The sequence below is a fragment of the Homo sapiens genome, chromosome 11 (assembly GCF_000001405.40).
Source record: "Homo sapiens chromosome 11, GRCh38.p14 Primary Assembly".
NCBI lineage: Eukaryota > Metazoa > Chordata > Mammalia > Primates > Hominidae > Homo > Homo sapiens.
The window spans coordinates 36727209-36746029 of NC_000011.10; the positions used below are offsets into that span (position 1 = coordinate 36727209).

General features: G+C 40.6%; 1 long non-coding RNA gene across 1 annotated transcript in view, besides 1 other annotated feature; it reads left to right on the forward strand.

The window, feature by feature from the left end:
• Positions 1 to 18821, forward strand: part of LOC107984326 (uncharacterized) — a 162012-nt gene that overhangs the window by 24284 nt on the left and 118907 nt on the right. The window lies entirely within an intron of this gene.
• Positions 15917 to 16096: an enhancer, noted in NCBI's record as "active region_4638". NCBI's record gives its function as "activates an Ori minimal core promoter by ATAC-STARR-seq in GM12878 lymphoblastoid cells {active_cell/tissue: GM12878}" and the evidence as "EXISTENCE:reporter gene assay evidence [ECO:0000049][PMID:35858748]".

Below are 18821 nucleotides of genomic sequence, written 5' to 3' on the forward strand. Positions count from 1 at the left end.
TTAGTTAGCTAGGGCTGCCATCACGAAGTCCCACAAACTGGGTGGCTTAAACAATAGATATTTATTTTCTCACAACTCCTGAGGCTAGCACTTTGAGATCGAGGTGTCTGCAGGGTTGGTTTCTTCTTGAGGCCTCTTTCTTTGGCTTGTAGGTGGCTGTCTTCTCCTTGTGTCTTAACATGGTCTTCCCTCTGTGTCTGTCTGTGTCCTAACTTTCTCTTATAAGGACACTAGTCATATTGGATTCGGGCCTGTGCTAACGGCTTCACTTTAACTTAATACTCTGTCTCCAAATATAATCACATTCTGATCTACTGGAGCTTAGGGCTACAACATATGAATTTTTTTTGAGGAGTTGAGGAGCACAATTCATCCCATAAGAGATCTGAATTTCTTGTACTGAGGCAATTCTCATGATGGGCTTACATGGTAAGCACTACATAAGTAATGAGTTATTCAATTGTAGCATTATTATTTCTGTTCTCTCATATAGCTATAAAACTACCACATTTGTGTATATATAATGTATCATTTATAAATGTATACATATATACACATTTCTATGGCACCTCTCTTAGTAACTCATTTTAGTGATTTAATTTAGGTAATATATCTGGGTGACTTGTTTCCGTTTCCCAGAAGCCTTGGGGGTTTATAAAATATAAGGCAAACCTTCTTAATTTTCATTCATTTACCCATTGAATAAATACTCATCAATCATGCTGTGCTGGCTCTGGAGGTCACAATATTGACTAAGACTGCGCAGTTTACAATTCAGTTTAAATGTCACGAGGAGGCAAGTACAGTGTGCCAGTGGAGGCTTTTGGAAGGGCCCCGTGATGGAATAAGCTTGTCCACAATTTCTTTGACATTCCTCTCCAGTGAGAGGAGGTATATGTATTCCCTTTCTTTGAAACTGGGCTGATCGTGACCGTGTTGACCAGTAGAATATGGCAGAATTGGTGCTTTTCTGAGGCTTTAAAGAAGCAGCAGCATCCTCACGTAGAATGCTTGTTTTAGGGGAAGCCAGTGCCGTGTCACACGTCTGACTATCCTGAGAGCCATCTCTAAGCATTCAAGCCATCTCATAACCATCTCAGCTCTGGTGTGATGTCCTAACGTGCCAAATTATGAGCTCCATAAAATGGTAGTTTTTTTAATACTACTAAGTTTTGGAGTTATTTGTTACTTAGCAATAGGTAAATGAAGCAAGACCCTAATGCAGACATGGAAGATAATTAAGAAATCCTATATATCACGTATCCAACATTAAAGCACTGAGTGCATGTAGACACAGAATTCTTGGACGATGCCTGTCTGCAAAATCCACTCCCTGCTTTCACATGTGAAGGCAAAAGGCAAGTGCCTCTTCAGACATTAGTTCTTACGGTTCTTGCTCTGTTGATGAACTCCATGGAAAGTGCTGATTTTGAACATTATATAAATTACTATCTGTGGAGCCCATCGGTCTCCTGGGGGCTGGTGCTGCAATTTGCTACAGTGGCCCCTCTCCAATGGCTCTACGGGTCATTACTACAGGCTGCTTATTCAGCCTTTCCTCTACCCATGGTTGCATGCCACAGAATCTACCTAATTCTGCTACTTAATGTGCTTTGCCAAGGGTCCCGCCCTTTCTCTTCTTGCTAATTATTTTTCTCTGTCCAAAGTGGCTTTTTTCATATCACTGGGTCCAAACATCCCTGGAAACATTATCCCTGCAGCTTTCATGATACATTGCAGAAAAGCAGCATCAGACAGAGTTTCAGGGTGTGGACCCTAGAGGTAGACTGCCTGAGTTTGAAGCCTGATTCTGCCCCTTACACCCAGCATGACTTTGGGGCCTCTGGGCTTCAGTTTCCACAACGACAAAGTGAGAAAAATGGTAGGGCCTGCAGTGTAGGGTCTATGTGTTGATAAAAAGGCGATCATTCATGTAAAATGCGCAGAATAATTCAAGTATCCAATAAATATCAATTTTTATAATTCAAAACATGCATCGTCTAGTATTATTTGTAGGAATTATCTGCTTATTTATGTGTCTAAATTCCTTGAGGATAGTGTCTTGAGCATTATCACCTCCCTAACGCTCTGCACAATGTGCAACATACATTAGGCACTCAATAACTACTTTCGGAATGAGTGAAGGCTACAAAAACCACTTAAAAACTGTGTCTGTCAGTGGAAGGTCAATAATATCTTCACAAAAGAAAGGTAGCAAAATTGTATAGAAGCTTGATTTTGTAGAATACACTCTCTATCATTCCAAGAATCAAAAACAAATTTAATTAAGGGGTTAAGTAAAACAACTGCATTCATAAATATGGTTCTTACACATGATTTTTTGTTATTAATGTGTGCTTAAGGTGCTCGATAATGTAAAGCTGTAATGATCAGGTTCCTAAAGAAGTTGGGGTGTAGGAATCCAGAACCCGAAACCCCTTGATTATCCATGGAGGGGCTGCATAAATAAAGAACTATTTATTTATACATAGGATCCACCTGTTTAAGAAAGAATTTAAAGTGGCATACAGCTACTCATATAATAATTTATTATGAGAAGATACATTAAAATGAAGTAATGTAGTTGAGTCCTAAGAAAAAGATAAGTTAAAAAGTTAGATGAAGCTGGAAATGAAATTTGTTCCCAAAATGCTTGCTATGCAATCCTATACATTTTCCAGAGGCAGGTCACAAATTTGAACTTTCTACTAGTTTTTATGTGAAAATCATAAAAAAACCAATTACATGAGTCACGCTTCGGAATAATAACGCTAACAGCTAGCATTTATCACATGTTTACCCAGTGCCAGCTGAGGCTCTTAGTGCTTTGCTTGCATTAACTCTTAATCCTTATAGTGATCATAGGAGATAGGTACTTGGCCCAGGCCTTGCAGCTGATACACAGTTTTTAAACCAGGCAGACCAACATTTGAAACCACTCACCTTGGCTCCATGCCTACCACTGTTTAAAACAAGAACAGCTAGATTTCATGTTAAGAACTTGGAAGAAATTTTCTTTTGTTGGTTCTTGAATTTTTCTGGGAACCTTTTTGTAAAATATAGGAGACCCTCCAGTCAGAAACAGAAATTGGGTGCATGCTCATCTAAGGCAGTTCTCAAAGTGGACCCCAGACTAGCAGCATCAGCCTTACCCGGGCATTTGTTAGAAATGCAAATTCTTGATCTTCTTCCCAGGTCTACTGCATCAGAAGCTTTGGGGCTGTGGTCCAACAGTAAGCACTTTAACAAGTCCTCCAGGTGATTCTAATGTGGGCTCAGGTTTGAGAACTGTTCTAAAGGGAAAGGAGCTTCTGGGGCAGAAGATGTCTGGCTTCTCATGACTTTGGTAGGAACTTCAGAAGGTAGAACAACTCATGAAATTATGGTGCCAGTATCAGAGACCAGAGGGACGGGGCTCATATACTTAATACCCTAGAAAACCAGGAGATGCTATAAAAAACAGTGACTATGTTCCTGACCAATTTGTCAAGTAACAGGTGAATGCAATAATAGAACTTGCAGCTCCCACTTGGATGGACAGAGCAGCATGTGGAGACCCACATCATGAATTTTACTCCAAGAACTACCACAGGAACATACCAGGAAAGCTGAGAAAATCCATCTGAAGGAGGTGGACTGCCACCGCAGGCTCCCTAGGACAGCTGAGGAATTGTGAGTCTGCTTGCTTTCTCAGGTGGGAGGCTTGTAGCCTGGGGCAAGTTCTCAGCCCTGCTCACTGGCTGCCTGGAAATAAACTTGGTGCTGTTGTGGGGCCATGGTGGGAGTGAGACCAGGCTGCAGGCTGCTTGGGAGCTGGGTGAGGCCTGTGACTGCCAGCTTCCCACCACTTCCCTGGTGACTTGTGTGATGCAGCAGAAACAGCCATAATCCACCTGAGAACATAACTTTTTGGCCTGGGAACCACCCCGCCACCCACCACAGATCTGCTGCAAAGCCCGCCCAAGGAGAGACTGAGCTCAGACATGCCTAACCCTGCCTCCACCTGATGGTCTTTCTCTACCCACCCTGGTAGCCAAAGACAAATGATGTAATCTCTTGGGAGCTCTATGGCCCTGTCCACCACCTGATCCTCCCAATACAACCACAGCTGATGGGCTCTTGAAAGTGCCATCTCCTGGCTGGAGGCCATCCAACATAAAACCAGCACATTTAACAAAAATGCAACCAAGGACCCTCACGGAGTCCACTTCACTCCCTACTACCTCCACTGGAATAGGTGCTGGTATCCATGACTGAAAGACCCGAAGACAGATCACATCATAGTACTCTTTGCAGACACTCCCCGCTACCAGCCTGGAGCCTGGCAGCTCCACTGGGTGGTTAGATCCAGAAGAGAAGTAACAATCACTGCAGTTTGGCTCTCAGGAAGCCCCATCCCTAGGGGTAAGGGGAGAGCACCACATCAAGGGATCACCCTGTGGGACAAAAGAATCTGAACAACATCCCTTGGGTCCCAGATCTTCCCTCTGACATAGTCTACTCAAATGAGAAGAAACCAGCAAAACAACTCTGTTAATATGATGAAACAAGCTCCTTTATCACCTGCAAAAGATCACACTAGCTTGCCAGTAATGGATCCAACCAAGACAAAAATCTCTGAATTGCCAGAAAAAGAATTCAGGAGGTTGATTATTAATCCAATTAAGGAGACACCAGAAACGGTGGAGTCCAACTGAAAGAAATTTAAAAAAATTGATATAGGATATAAATGGAAAAATCTTCAGTGAAATAGATAGCATAAATAAAAAAACAATCACAACTTCTGTAAATCAAGGGCACACTTAAATAAATGCAAATTGCACTGGAGAGTCTCAGCAATAGAATCGAACAAGTAGAAGAAAGAACTTCAGAGTTCTAAGATAAGACTTTCAAATTAACCCAAATCTGAAAAAGATGAAGAAAAAAGAATTAGAAAATGAACAAAGCCTCAATAAGTTTGGGATTATGTTAAATGACCAAACCTAAGAATAATGGTTTTCCCCAGGAAGAAGATAAATCTAAAAGTTTGGAAAACATATTTGAGGGAATAATCAAGGAAAACCTCCCCAGCCTTGTTAGAGATCTAGACATTCAGATACAAGAAGCTCAGAGAACACCTGGGAAATTCATCATTGCCCAGGCACATAGTTATCAGGTTATCGAAAGTCAAGATGAAGGAAAAAATCTGAAGAGATGTGAGGCAAAAGCATCAGATAACCTATAAAGGAAAACCTATCAGATTAACAGAGCATATTTCTCAGCAGAAACTCTACAAGCTAGAAAGGATTGGGGTCCTATCTTTAGCCTCCTTAAACAACACAATTATCAGCCAAGAATCTTGTATCCAGTGAAACTAAGCTTCATAAATGAAGGAAAGATAAAGTCTTTTTCAGACAAATGCCAAGAGAATATGCCACTACGAAGCCAGCACTATAAGAACTGCTAAAAGGAGCTTTAAATCTTGAAACAAATCCTGGAAATACACCAAAATAGAATCTCCTTAAAGCATAACTCTCTCAAGTCCTGTAAAACAATAACAGTAAAAAACCACAAGGTATTCAGGCAACAAACAGCATGATATATAGGATAGTACCTTACATCTCAATACTAACGTTGAATGTAAATGGCGTAAGTGTTCCACTTAAAAGATACAGAATGGCAGAATGGATAGGAATACACCAACCAAGTATCTGCTGTCTTTGAGGGACTCACCTGACACAGAAGGACTCATATAAACTTAAAGGGGTGGAAAAAGATATTCCATGCAAATGGACACCAAAAGCGAGCAGGAGTAGCTATTCTTATATCAGACAAAACAAACTTTAAAGCAATGGCAGTTAAAACAGACAAAGACGGACACTATATAATGATTGAAGGACTGGTCCTCCAGGAAAATATCACAATCCTAAATATATATGCACCTAACACTGGTGATCCCAAATTTACAAAAGAATTACTACTTGACCTAAGAAATGAGATAGCTAGCGACACAATAATAGTGGGGGACTATACTCCACTGACAGCACTAGACAGGTCATCAAGACAGGAAGTCAATAAAGAAACAGTGGACTTAGGCCAGGTGTTGTGGCTCACACCTGTAATCCCAGCACTTTGGGAGGCCGAGGCAGGTGGATCACTTGAGGTCAGGAGTTTGAGACCAGCCTGGTCAACATGGTGAAACCCCATCTCTACTAAAAATACCAAAAATTAGCTGGGAGTGGTGGTGGGTGCCTGTAATCCCAGGTACTTGGGAGGCTGAGGTAGGAGAATCTCTTGACTCTGGGAGGCAGATGTTGCAGTGAGCCAAGATCGTACTCCAGCCTGGGTAACAGAGTGAGGCTCCAACTAAAAAAAAAAAAAAGAGAGAAAAAAAAAGAAACAATGAGCTTAAACTATACCCTAGAATAGATGGAATTAACGGATATTTACAGAACATTCTACCCAGCAACTGCAGAATATACATTCTGTTCATCAGCACATGGAACATTCTCCAAGATAGACCATGTGATAGGGCACAAAACAAGTCTCGGTAAATTTAAGAAAATTGAAATTATATCAAGTACTCCCTCAGACCGCAGTGGAATAAAATTGGAAATCAAAAGGAACCCTCAAGACCAGGTGCAGTGGCTCATGCCTATAATCCCAGCACTTTGGGAGGCTGAGGCAGGTGGATCACCTGAGGTCGGGAGTTCAAGACCAACCTGGCCGGCTGGGTGCGGTGGCTCATGCCTGTAACCCCAGCACTTTGGTAGGCCAAGGCAGGCGGATCGCCTGAGCTCAGGAATTTGATACCAGCCTGGGCAACATGGCGAAACCCCATTTCTAAAAAAATTAGCCTGGCATGATGGCGGGTGCCTATAATCTCAGTTACTCGGGAGGCTGAGGTGGGAGAATCCCTTGAATCCAGAAGGCAGAGGTTGCAGTGAGCTGAGATCGTGCCATTGCACTCCAGCATGGGTGACAGAGCGAGACTCCGTCTAAGAAAGAAAAAAAAAAGGAACCCTCAAAACCAGCAAATACAGGGAAATTAATTAACCTGCTCCTGAATTATCATTGGGTCAACAATGAAATCAAGATGGAAATTAAAAAATTCTTTGTACTAAACGGTAACAGTGACACAACCTATCCAAACCTCTGGGATACAGCAAAGGCTGTGCTAAGAAGAAAGTTCATAGCATTAAATGCCTACATCAAAAAGCCTGAAAGAGTACAAATAGACAATTTAAGGTCATACCTCATGGAACTGGAGGAACAAGAACAATTCAAACCCAAACCCAGTGGAAGAAAATAAATAACAAAGATCAGAACAGAAATATTAATAAATGAAATTGAAGCAAACAAAAATACAAAAGATAAATGAACCCAAACCTGGTTCTTTAAAAAGATAAATAAAATTGATAGACCATTAACAAGATTAACCAAGAAAAGAGAGATGATCCAAAGAAATTCAATTAGAAATGAAACAGAAGATATTACAACCAATGCCACAGAAATACAAAAGCTCATTCAAGGCTATTATGAACACCTTTATGCATACAAACTAGAAAACCTAGAGGAGACGGATACATTTCTGGAAATAAACAACCCTCCTAAATTAAGCCAGGACAGACCAATAAAAAGCAGTGAGATTGAAATAGTAATTAAAAAGTTACCAACCAAAAAATGTCCAGGACCAGATGGATTCACAAATGAATTCTATCAGACATTCAAAGAAGAATTGGTGGAAATCATATTGACACTATTCTTAAAGATAAAGAGGGAATCCTCCCTAAATCATTCTATGAAGCCAGTGTAACCCTAATACCAAAACCAGGAAGGGACATAACAAAAAAAGAAAACTACAGACCAATATCCCTGATGAACATAGAAGCAAAAATCCTCAACAAAATGCTAGCTAACAGAATCCAACAGTATATTAAAAAGATAAGCCACCATGTTCAAGTGGGTTTCATACTAGGGATACAGGGATGGTTTAACATCCACAAGTCAACAAATGTGATACGCTACATAAACAGAATTTAAAAAAACCCACATGATTATCTCAATAGATGAAGATAAAGCATTTGACAAAATCCAGCATTCCTTTATGATTAAAACCCTCAGCAAAATCGACATAGAAGGGACATGCCTTAAGGTAATAAGAGCCATCTATGACAAACCAACAGACAACATTACAGTGAATGCAGAAAAGTTGAAAGCATTCCCCCTGTGAACTGGAACAAGAAAGACAAGGATGCCCACTTTCACCACTTCTATTCAACATAGTGCTGGAAGTCATAGCCAGAGCAATCAGACAAGAGAAAGAAATAAAGGGCATCCGAACCAGTAAGGAGGAAATCAAACTGTTGCTGTTTGCTGATAACATGATTGTTTACCTAGAAAACTCTAAAGACTCCTCCAAAAAGCTCCTAGAACTAGTAAATGAATTCAACAAAGTTTCGGGATACAAAATTAATGTACACAAATCAGTAGCTCTGCTATACACCAACAGCGACCAAGCTGAGAATCAAATCAAGAACTCAACCCCTTTTATAATAGCTGCCAAAAAATAGAGTATTTAACAAAGCTACAGAGCTGGCATCACAAAACTGGCATAGCTGCAACAGGGATCCTCTTATGATTTTAATATAGATCATACTGCTTTTATATTCAAAATGGTTAAGAGCTTTCCATTGTAATTAGGACAAAATTTACATGCCTTAGCATGGCTGACAAGGCCTTGCCTGATCTGGTCCCTGTTTTTCTCACCAACCTAATTTTTGCCTCGCCCCCTTACTCTACATGCTCCAGCCATATTAGTTGACTCTCACCTCCTTGATAGTGGTGAATTCTCTCAGCTTTTGTTTGTTTGGGAACGACTTTCTTTCTCCTTCTTATGGAAGGATAATTTTTCTGGGTACAGTATTCTCATATGGCAGTTTTTTTTTTCTTTGAGCACTTTGAAAATGTTGTTCTACTCTCTCCTAGCCTGCGTGGTTTCTGTTGAGCAACCTGCTGCCAGATGATTTAGAGCTCCATTATATGCCAATTTACTTCCTTTCTTTTGCTGCTTTTAGGATCCTTTCTTTGTCTGTAACCATTGAGAGTCTGATTCTTATATGCCTTGGGAAAGTCTTATTTGGGTTCAATCTGTTTCATGTTTTCCGACCTTCTTATACTCGGATATTTATATCTTTTTCAAGTTTTGGAAACTTTTCTATTATTCTTTGAATAAGCTTTCTACCCATTGCTCTTGCTCAGCTTTCTTTTGAACACCAATAATTCTTAGATTTGGTCTTTTCAGGTAATTTTCTATTTTTTGTGGGAGGCCTTCATCCCTTTTCATTATTTCTTCTTTTGTCTCCTCTGTGTATTTTCAAATAGCCGGTCTTCAAGCTCACTGATTTTTTTTCCCTCTGCTTTGTCCATTCTGCTGTTAGGAGCTTCCAATGAGTTTTTCAGTTCAGAAAACGTATTTCTCAGTTCCAAGATTTCCATTTGATTTTTTAAAAATTTCAATCTCTTTGTTAAATTTTCTCAATACATTTCTGAATTGCTTTTCTGTGTTATCTTGGAGATCACCAAGTTTCCTCAAGACTGCTATTATGAATTCTTGATCAGAGAGCTCACGAATCACTGTCTTGTTAGGGTCAGTGACTGAACTTTTGTTTTGTCCTTTTAGGGGAGGTCATAGTTCCCAGTTTGCTTTGTTTCTTGTGGATGTATGACAATGTCTTTGCAATAAAGGATTAATTATTTATTCTAGTTTTCTCTGGTTTGTTTTGTTTCTTTGGATATATTTGCTCAGCAAATACTGTTAGATCACTGCTCCCTTTTTGGTTCTAAGCCTTGTGCCTTAAGCCCAGGTTTGCTTTGACTCTAGTTAATGAGTGGAGCACTGCCTGTCCTGGATGGGGTTAAATTTCAAAGGAATTATCCCAGCAGTGTGGGAAGGCTGGCTAGGGGTTCATGCCCAATGGACCTATGAAATGTACCTCCTACAGGGTACTGCTGCTTAACAGCTACCTGATTTGGCATCTCCTTTGGCCAAGTTACAGAGCAGACTTTCCAGGGCTCAGGATGCTAGTCCCTCCTCCTCCCTTTGTCTCTGCCTGTCCTTAGGGATATTTCTTCCTTCAGGCAATCACTTCCCATGGGTTAAGGCAAGGACAGGTCTCCTGCCAGGCAACCTAAGATAGTGGGAAAGCTGGATGATCACCTCAATCTCACTTTTTCCAGTGTAGGAACTGTGAATTGGGTAAAATTACCTGCACACTTGTTGCCGGGAAGAATGTGGGTTGTGGGGAAGGGCATCCTCAGAGCCTAGATGGTAGGTAAATTCTCCCATCCTTTGCTCAGAGGTTTTTCACTTCTCCATGACCTCAAGATCTATCTCATCTTCACATTTGAGTCCTGGGTTGTTGCTGGCAAAAACTTTGGTACTGTATATATATTTTTGGTTTTCTGTGGGGGTTGATGATAATGTAGCCAGCTCACCTCTATACCACCATTTTAAAACCTACTCTCAGCTCCTTGAACACTCCAGGAGCTTCGCCAACTCTGGATCTTTGTATAATCCCACTCCGCTGCCTGGAATAATCCTCCACTTGGTCCTTGTATATCAAAATCATTCTCATCCTTTGGGTCTCAGACTAAATGCTATCCATGGAGGACTTTCAATCCAACATAAAATATCCAAGATAGCTGTTTTACTCAGATGTTGGCACCTGGCTGGAATGACTGGAATAGCTAAAGCTTGCTTGGCCTCTCTTTCCCCATATCCTTTTCTAAGCTAGCTTGAGGTTCCTCACAACATGGTACTCTCAGGATGTATCTATTCACATGGGAGCTAGCTTCCCCTAGAACAAGTATTCTAAGAAAGAATATTGCTACTTCTTTACAGTCTGGGTGAAGCATCACTTCCGTCATATTTTACTGGTAAGCACAGTGTCAGAACCAGCCTAGATTCAAGGGGAGGGGACATAGACATTTCCCCTCAATGGAGAGGAGTATCAGATAATTTGTGGACAAGTTATGCTATCACAGGGCCCTTCCTACAGCCTCCACTGGCACACAGTACTTGCCTTCCCATGACATTTAAACTGAATTGTAACTGCCTTGTCTTAGTGAACATTGTGACTTCCAGAGGCCAGCACAGCACCATTGATAAATATGTGTTCAATGAGTAAATGAATGAATGAAAATTAAGAAGGTTTGCTTTACATTTTAGATATCCTTAAGGTTCTGACAAACAGGAAACCCTTGAAGCCACGAAGCTTCATGAGGAATCAAATCTTTCTTGTTGACTGTTACTTCCTCTGTATTGGCACAGTACCTGGCAGGTATATTACATCCTCAATAGCTGTTTGTTGAATGAATAAGTGAAAGAATGCATGTCTATCAAAGCTAGTTCCACTTCCCTTTCAAAGGCACCAATGTCGATTGTTTGTAAGTAAACCTCAAGCCATTTTTGCTGTACTAGCTGCAGAGCCAGCTCCATTTCTGTACTTCCTATTCTTCTTATATCTCTAGCCCCAGATAACTCTGGGGAGCCACATCCCCAAGGACTTGACATTATACTTCACACGTGTATTCTCAGACACTTGAAGCAGGGGTAGAAGTGGAACACTGTTTTGAAATTCATTGAGCTCAGAAAAAAATGCCTTCAGAGCTAAGAGGTCTGTCAGTTATAATGTACAGACTTCTGGAGCTTATTTAGCCTTTTCTTTTAGGGGCACATTGGAAAATAGGAAATTGGAGGACTTGTAGAAGGATGTGGTAAATGTGATAAGCATATGAAGCTCTTTTCTGTGTGCTCAAAGAGGATGCAAACAAGGACTATATGAACATTGCTAGGGGTCCTGAGGGGCTCAGAATTATAGTCAATTCTTGCAGTGGTATTTTCAGCTCTATATGATGGTTTCTTCTTGGGGCTTTTTACTCTAGTGAGTTTACTTTTGAGTACTTTGGATTCAGAGTTTGCTCACAAGGGACCAGGACAATTGCTTGTAAAGGAAGGGATTCCTCTGAATCTTGAGCTTTGGTTTAAACTTCCCTTTTGAGCTTTAGACCCTTATATCAGACTGCATACCACAGATCTCACCTGGATATCCCACAGCTATTTCAAACTGCACTTGCCCAAAATAGAATTCATTCTGTGTTCCCACAATTGAGTTCTTATTTCTATAGTTTATATTGAGATCAAAGGCAGCAGCACCTTCCACACAGTCATCTGAGCAGAAGCACAGATATCATCCTTCAAGCTTCCCTAAATGTTGGTGGTAATAGATAATATTTATTGATAGCATCCTATGTGCCAGGTCCTGTGCTACGTACTTTATGTACATCAACCCCCTTAGTCATCACTGCAGCCTGTGACTAAGATTGTGTTATTATCTGCATTTTAAAGCTGAAGAAACAGGTGACTGCGAAAGTATCCCAACAGACCTTTTTGCCTGAAGCTCTTCTCAGATTTATCTACTGCATGGCAAGCTGATTTCTCTTTTAAATAAGCAGACCTGCATGTACCATGCCCTTCCTTACAAGCTTCACTGGCTCCCCGTTGTCCTCAGAATGTAGCCCAAACTCTTAGCCAGGAGTACAGCACCCTTTATTACTTGGTCACTGAGCACCCATCCAACCTCATTTCCAGTGGCTCTTACCTTGGCCCCCTATCCCCTCACTCCCATGTTGTAGCCATGTTGGATACTTGCCAGCACTTGAAATATGCATATTTTCCAGCCTCATTTAATTCTTCATCCTAAAAATACTTTGGGGGAGCCCACCATATGCTAGGTACTGTCTTAGGCACTAGTGCTATAGCTGTGAACAAAACAGATCAAGGCCTGCCCTCATGGCACTTGCATTCTAGTGGAGAAGTCAGACAATGCACAGGCAAATAGCTACATAGACCATGTACTGTCCGAGTCCTGAGTGCTGTGCAGGGAGATAAAGCAGAGAAAAGGGGCAGAAAGTGACAGCAGGGTTCTATTTTATTTGAGATGGCCAGAGAAGGCACTTTGCAATGGCCCTGAGATGAGAACTTGCCTGGAATGTTTGAAGAACATCAAGGAGGCCAGTGTGGCTGGGAGGACGTGGAACCAAGGGAGGTCTCTAATATACCAAGGAGCCCATCACGTAAGGCCTTGAAGGCATGACCAAGACTTTGGATTTTATTGCAGGTGGGAGAGGAAATTATTGCAAGTTTGAGATGAGGGAGTGATGGAATCTGATTGGTATTTCACAAGGATCATGCTGATAGCTGTGTGACTGTTGAACAGACTGTAGTGGGGTAAGAGTGGAAGGAGGGAGACCAGGTAGGAGGCACCTGTGCAGCTCTTGTTCCCATTTCAGGAATATTCATTCCCCATGCCCTTCCTCACCTTTGCCTGGTGACTGCTACCCAGCTTTCTACACCCATCTCAGGAGTATCTCCATTCAAAAATCTTCCTCAGTTCTCTTCCTCTCTATCCTCCTGATGCAGAATTTTATGTATTTTTAATAGTATGTAATCTCACTATTTTGTGGTTATGTATATATCTGACTTTCATAATTAACTGTGAGGTCAATGAATCCTAAAGGGTGGGATCTATTTCTGTTTCTTGCTTTTCTTTGTGTTTCTAGCTCCCTGGCATGGCACCTGATAGTGTTGATAGGAATCAATGAGGATTTGAGAAATACATGAGTGAATGAACAAAGGAACAGCTCATCTGGCTGATACTAAACATTCAAATGCTTATTTGATTGAACAAATGAGGGTTCAAATAATTCCATTCAGTCAAAATTGTCTATGTATTTATAGGCCAACTTTAAAATGTAACTTGCATATATAAAGGCATCAAATTTCAGAAATTGTTGTGGAAACTAGATTTGTGGAGTCGTGGAGAAGTCCTTTTGAATACAGTGCTATCTGTTGAAAAGAGCTCCAGGCTGTCAGCTTATTGACTAACGTGTTTTGTTGTTGTCATTTTTTTTTGTTGATACATAAGGATTGTACATATTTCTGGAGTACATGTGATATTTTGATATGTGCATACCATGTGTAGTGGTCAATAGAATATTATTGAGCCATAAAAAGAAAGAAATCTTGTCATTTGCAGCAATGTGAATGGAACCAGAAGATACTATGTTAAGTGAAATAAGCCAAACTTTGGTCATGATTTCCATCACTCACAGCAGCCCTGGAGTACCAGCACACTTAAACAGTGCAACCAGGATCAGTCAAACAGAACCAGAACCATTTAGGTTTATGTTGTTATGGATTTTTGCAAAACTCCCTTTAGATTCCCATGGGTGGAGTGTGACTTATGGCTTCTCAGATTATTCATTTGTTGAATGGACTTCAGTGGGTTTTCTGTAAGCCCCTGCCTTGCTTAAAATAAATCTGATATAAGCAAATCTTTTTTTCTTTTTGAAATAACAAAACAAAACAAATGACTGAAAGGTGATTTATTTGATGAATGAGTTAAGAGATTATAGGATTCCTTTAACAAGCCTCTTGAATGCATTTAAAATGATGTAATTTGTTAAAGAAAAACATTTACATGGAACTTCTAAGGGCCCAGAAGTTAGCAATTAGATTTGAGCAATTCTAACTTGGACAGTTTCCATCAGCTATACTCTGTGGGTGTCTGTACTAGACAGTGCTCTGCTGATATTGAGGGGAGTCTCAAAGGAGTAGAAGAGGCCAGATTCTGGGTCTCCATCTAGACCTGCTGTGTCCAAAATGTAGCCCCTAGTCGTATGTGGCTATTGTGCCCCTGAAATGTGGCTAAGGCTACCAAGGAACTAAATTTTTAACTTAATTATAATTCATTTTCATTTAAAACGGATATTTTATTCCATTATTAGAAAACTTTTAAGTATGTTTAGAACAACTTTGGGTCTGTGGGTCTTTTTTAGTTATAAATTTTGTATACTTTAAATATAGATCAACTATTTCTGATTTTTCTGATGAACATTTAGTGTACCAATTAAGATGTCCTGTAAGTATAAAATGCACACTGACTTTGAAGACTTTAGCACAAAAGGTTGTAAAATATCTCACCAATGCTTTTTATACTGATTACACATTGAGTTAACATTTTGGATATGTTGGGTTAAAACATTTTAACAGAATTAATTTCATTTGTTTATTTTTACATTTTAAATGTGATTATTAAAATTTTAAAATTACATACATGCTTATTACATTTCTACTAAAAAGTGCTGGGAGTCTGTGCTAGGTATGCCTATTACCTCTGCACTATCCATATCCTGTTCTAGGTGAAACCACACAGCACAATGCACTGAGAACCCTGGCTTGGTGATCCCATCTAATTAGACCAGCACTGGGCAACCAGGATTGAGAACCAGTGTTATGATATTTGCTTACTCACTTGGTCCCTGATGCAGGCTTTTTCTCTATGGGTATAAATAAGACATCAGAAGAGCTCTACCATCCCTCCCAAGAACTTCTTAAGTAGAGCCAACCAAATTTTCTCACCTAAGGTTTTGGAATCAAGACACAAGTCTTGCTGGTAAGAAGCTGTTGGACATGGGACTCCAAGGCAATGAGTTAGAGATAGCTTCCTGGGAACCCAAAGCCTTGCTTGGGGAGTAAGAGCCTTAGAGGATGCCAGTATGCAGTGTGGAGAGGGGGCCCACATGCAGAGTCCTGAAGCTTAGGGAGAAACACAGTGGAGACTTGGCTACACCTCCCACTTGGGGTTTTGTGAGATTCTCTTGTATCTTTCCCATAAATCCCCCTTTGTTTAACCTAGCTTGAGTGGATTTCTGTTTCTTAATGCTAATGATTTTCACACAGACAAACATGATTAGGGAAACAAGTCAACTATCAGGAACAATAAAAAAGCATCAAAATTTATAAACACTGAAGTTAGAGGAATGAGTATGTAAGTGCTGGCAAAGATAATGTGGTATGAGGAATAGTCTGAAACAGTGGTCCTCCAAGTGTGGTCTGGAGGACCCTGAAACCCTTTCAGTGGGATCTCCATAAAGTCAAAATTGTTTTCTAATTATACCAAGCCTTTATTTGCATGTCTTGCTCTCATTCTCTCATGAGTGAATAGGGGAATTCTCCAGAAACAACATGATGAGTGATATAGCGAAAGCTTAGATGCAAAAGTATCTACGAGAACCCAGCTGTCTTCTATTAAACCATACATTAGAGAGATTTATAAAAATCAAATACAATGCCATTCTTCTATTTTTTTGATTCTTGAAAATAGTTAATTTTATAAAACTATGTTAACATGTAAATGGTTTATTAAATATGTTAAAGTTTCTCCATTTTAATCACTAATGTTGTAAGCATTGATGGATAGAACCCACATATACAACAGCTCTTTGGGGTTCTCTATAATTTTTAAGAATGTAAATGGTCCTGAGTAGAGAATAGTAAGATAAATCAGTGAAGAGTTAATGGAGGGAGAACTGGTTTAGAGTTGCCCTGAGGTCTTATTTTCTGTTTATAATGCCTGTGTCTAAATAGGGGCCAAGCAAGGGTATGATTACAGTGGTTCTCAACCCTGACATCAAAATCACCGTGGAGGACTAGAAAAATACAGATCTTCAGGCTTCTGTCCCCAGATATTCATATCATAAGGTCTGAGAGGAGATCTAGGAATCTGTATTCTTAAAAAGTGCCTCAGCAGTTTCTTTGCACAACACGCAAAAAGGAACAAAGAAAAGACATCATTTAATTTCAGAGAGATGGGCTGTGGATGATGAAAAGCAAATGAGGGTGCCTGCTCCCACCTGGCTGCTGGCCTTTTTCTGGCAGCTCTGTGGGTGAACTGGGAGGCATGAGGCTGGCTGTTGAGGTCAGAGGGGACTGCATGCACCAGGTGGCCCAGCCTCACCTAGCTGCCTCTCTGATGGCCTCCCTGAACTGATGCTGTGGATTCATTCGCAGGTGCTCAAGGGCACACCCTGAAATCCATGAACCCACCAGAGTTGAGAATGGGAAAAGATGAGATACTGCAAACACAAGGTAGTTCCTGTGCCTTGTTTCTAAGCTTTAGCTCTTTAAAAAATGTTCTTGAGACTGGAAGTGGATTCTGAAGCAGAGGCTAGCTATAGTTCAGGAGGCAGGCTGGAATTTGTCATTTGTACAGTAAGGTAGCAGAAAGTTTTCTTGCGAGAGATTGAGAGAGAGAGAGAAGTTCTTGCTTCCTTAAAAGAAAGGAGACCCCCCCACCCCTTCCCTACCTCAATATCTTGCAGACACGTACTGATTTCTTCTGAGGGCTTAAAAGGTGCTGTGTTTACCTCCCCTCTGCTCTTACGTCCATTCACAGGAAGTCAACGGGAGGGTTGGTGTGGAATTTTCTTCTCACTGTGCAGTGATACATTGAGATGGATTATGGGCTTATTTTTGGCTCCCTGGAATGTTTTCCTTTCATTTTGTTTCTTCTGGAAGCAAATCCTGCTTTCCTGGGCACAGGGATACTATATGATTCAGGACTGTCCATTCATAACATCCTATCCTTGGGAACAGGGGCACCACGTGGCACAACTCTAGTAACTCCAAATGATTTCACTGACATGCACGTCAATGTGAATGGCGCCCCCTGGTGTGGCATGATAGGACAGCCCTGCCTTGGAAATGGAGCGGTGGGAGTACGTCGCAGGAAAAGAAGCAGAACAACCAGACTCTATTTCTAGAATTAACTTAGGAAGGTTGGGAGACAAAAATCTCTTTCCACTAGGGTTGCTAAACAGGGATGCAGAGAAATGAGTTTGGTTGTCACCTTCCTATCCCACAAGATTGTTGTGGGAGAGAATTATGCCATCATACCCAGCAGGAAACAGACACTGAAGACCGTGAGAGAAAAAGCTCTGATGACATAGGTTGAGCCCCTGGATCCACTGAGCCTGAAGTGAGAGCCATTTTTGGATTTTTAAATTCTATGAGTCTATTAAGCTTACGATTTTCCTTAAGCAAGTTCAAGTTAAAGTACTGACTAATGTCTTTTGTTTTTTTTTGTTTTTTTTTTGAGACGGAGTCTTGTTCTTGTCGCCCAGGCTGGAGTGCAGTGGCGCGATCTCAACTCACTGCAGCCTCCGCCTCCCGGGTTCCAGCGATTCTCCTGCCTCAGCCTAGCTGGGATTACAGGCGTGCGCAACCACGCCTGGCTAATTTTTTGTATTTTTTTAGTAGAGACGGGGTTTCACCATGTTGGCCAGGCTGGTCTCAAACTCCTGACCTCAGGTGATCCACCCGCCTCGGCCTCCCAAAGTGCTGGGATTACAGGCGTGAGCCACCGCGCCCGCCCAGCCTAATAGACAAGTGGATATTTGTATGCAACTTGGTGGGATGCAGACATTCAGGGAATTTAAAAAACCTCAACAACTCAACAGCACATCCATACATGCCAACTATCCCACAGATAAGACACTTCTCATTTTATCATTTTGAGCAGACTGTTCATTTAGATTTTGTTGGCTGCAGAGAAGAGGTTTAATATAGGCATGATATTCATCATAAACAGAGTAAAGTGAAATGCTAGCACTATTTGAAAGTATGATGTCAATTAATAATAACAATATAAGAAAATCTGTATAATATTTTACGTCTTTGTTTTCAGAAAAAGATTTCCATTTCTAAATTTATCTCACATTTTACATGCATGATCATGTATAAATATGTATTATTTGGTGAAAATGTCATTACCTGATTAAACAGGTTCTGTAATTTTCTGGCTCCATTTAATTTATCTCATGGCTTTTATTTTCTTTTTTTAAATGATTGATGTGTTGAGAATCACTTCAAGCATTTTGTTGTCATTTTAATTTCTTTTCCTTGAATTATCTGTCATGCTTTGTCCACCACTCTTAGA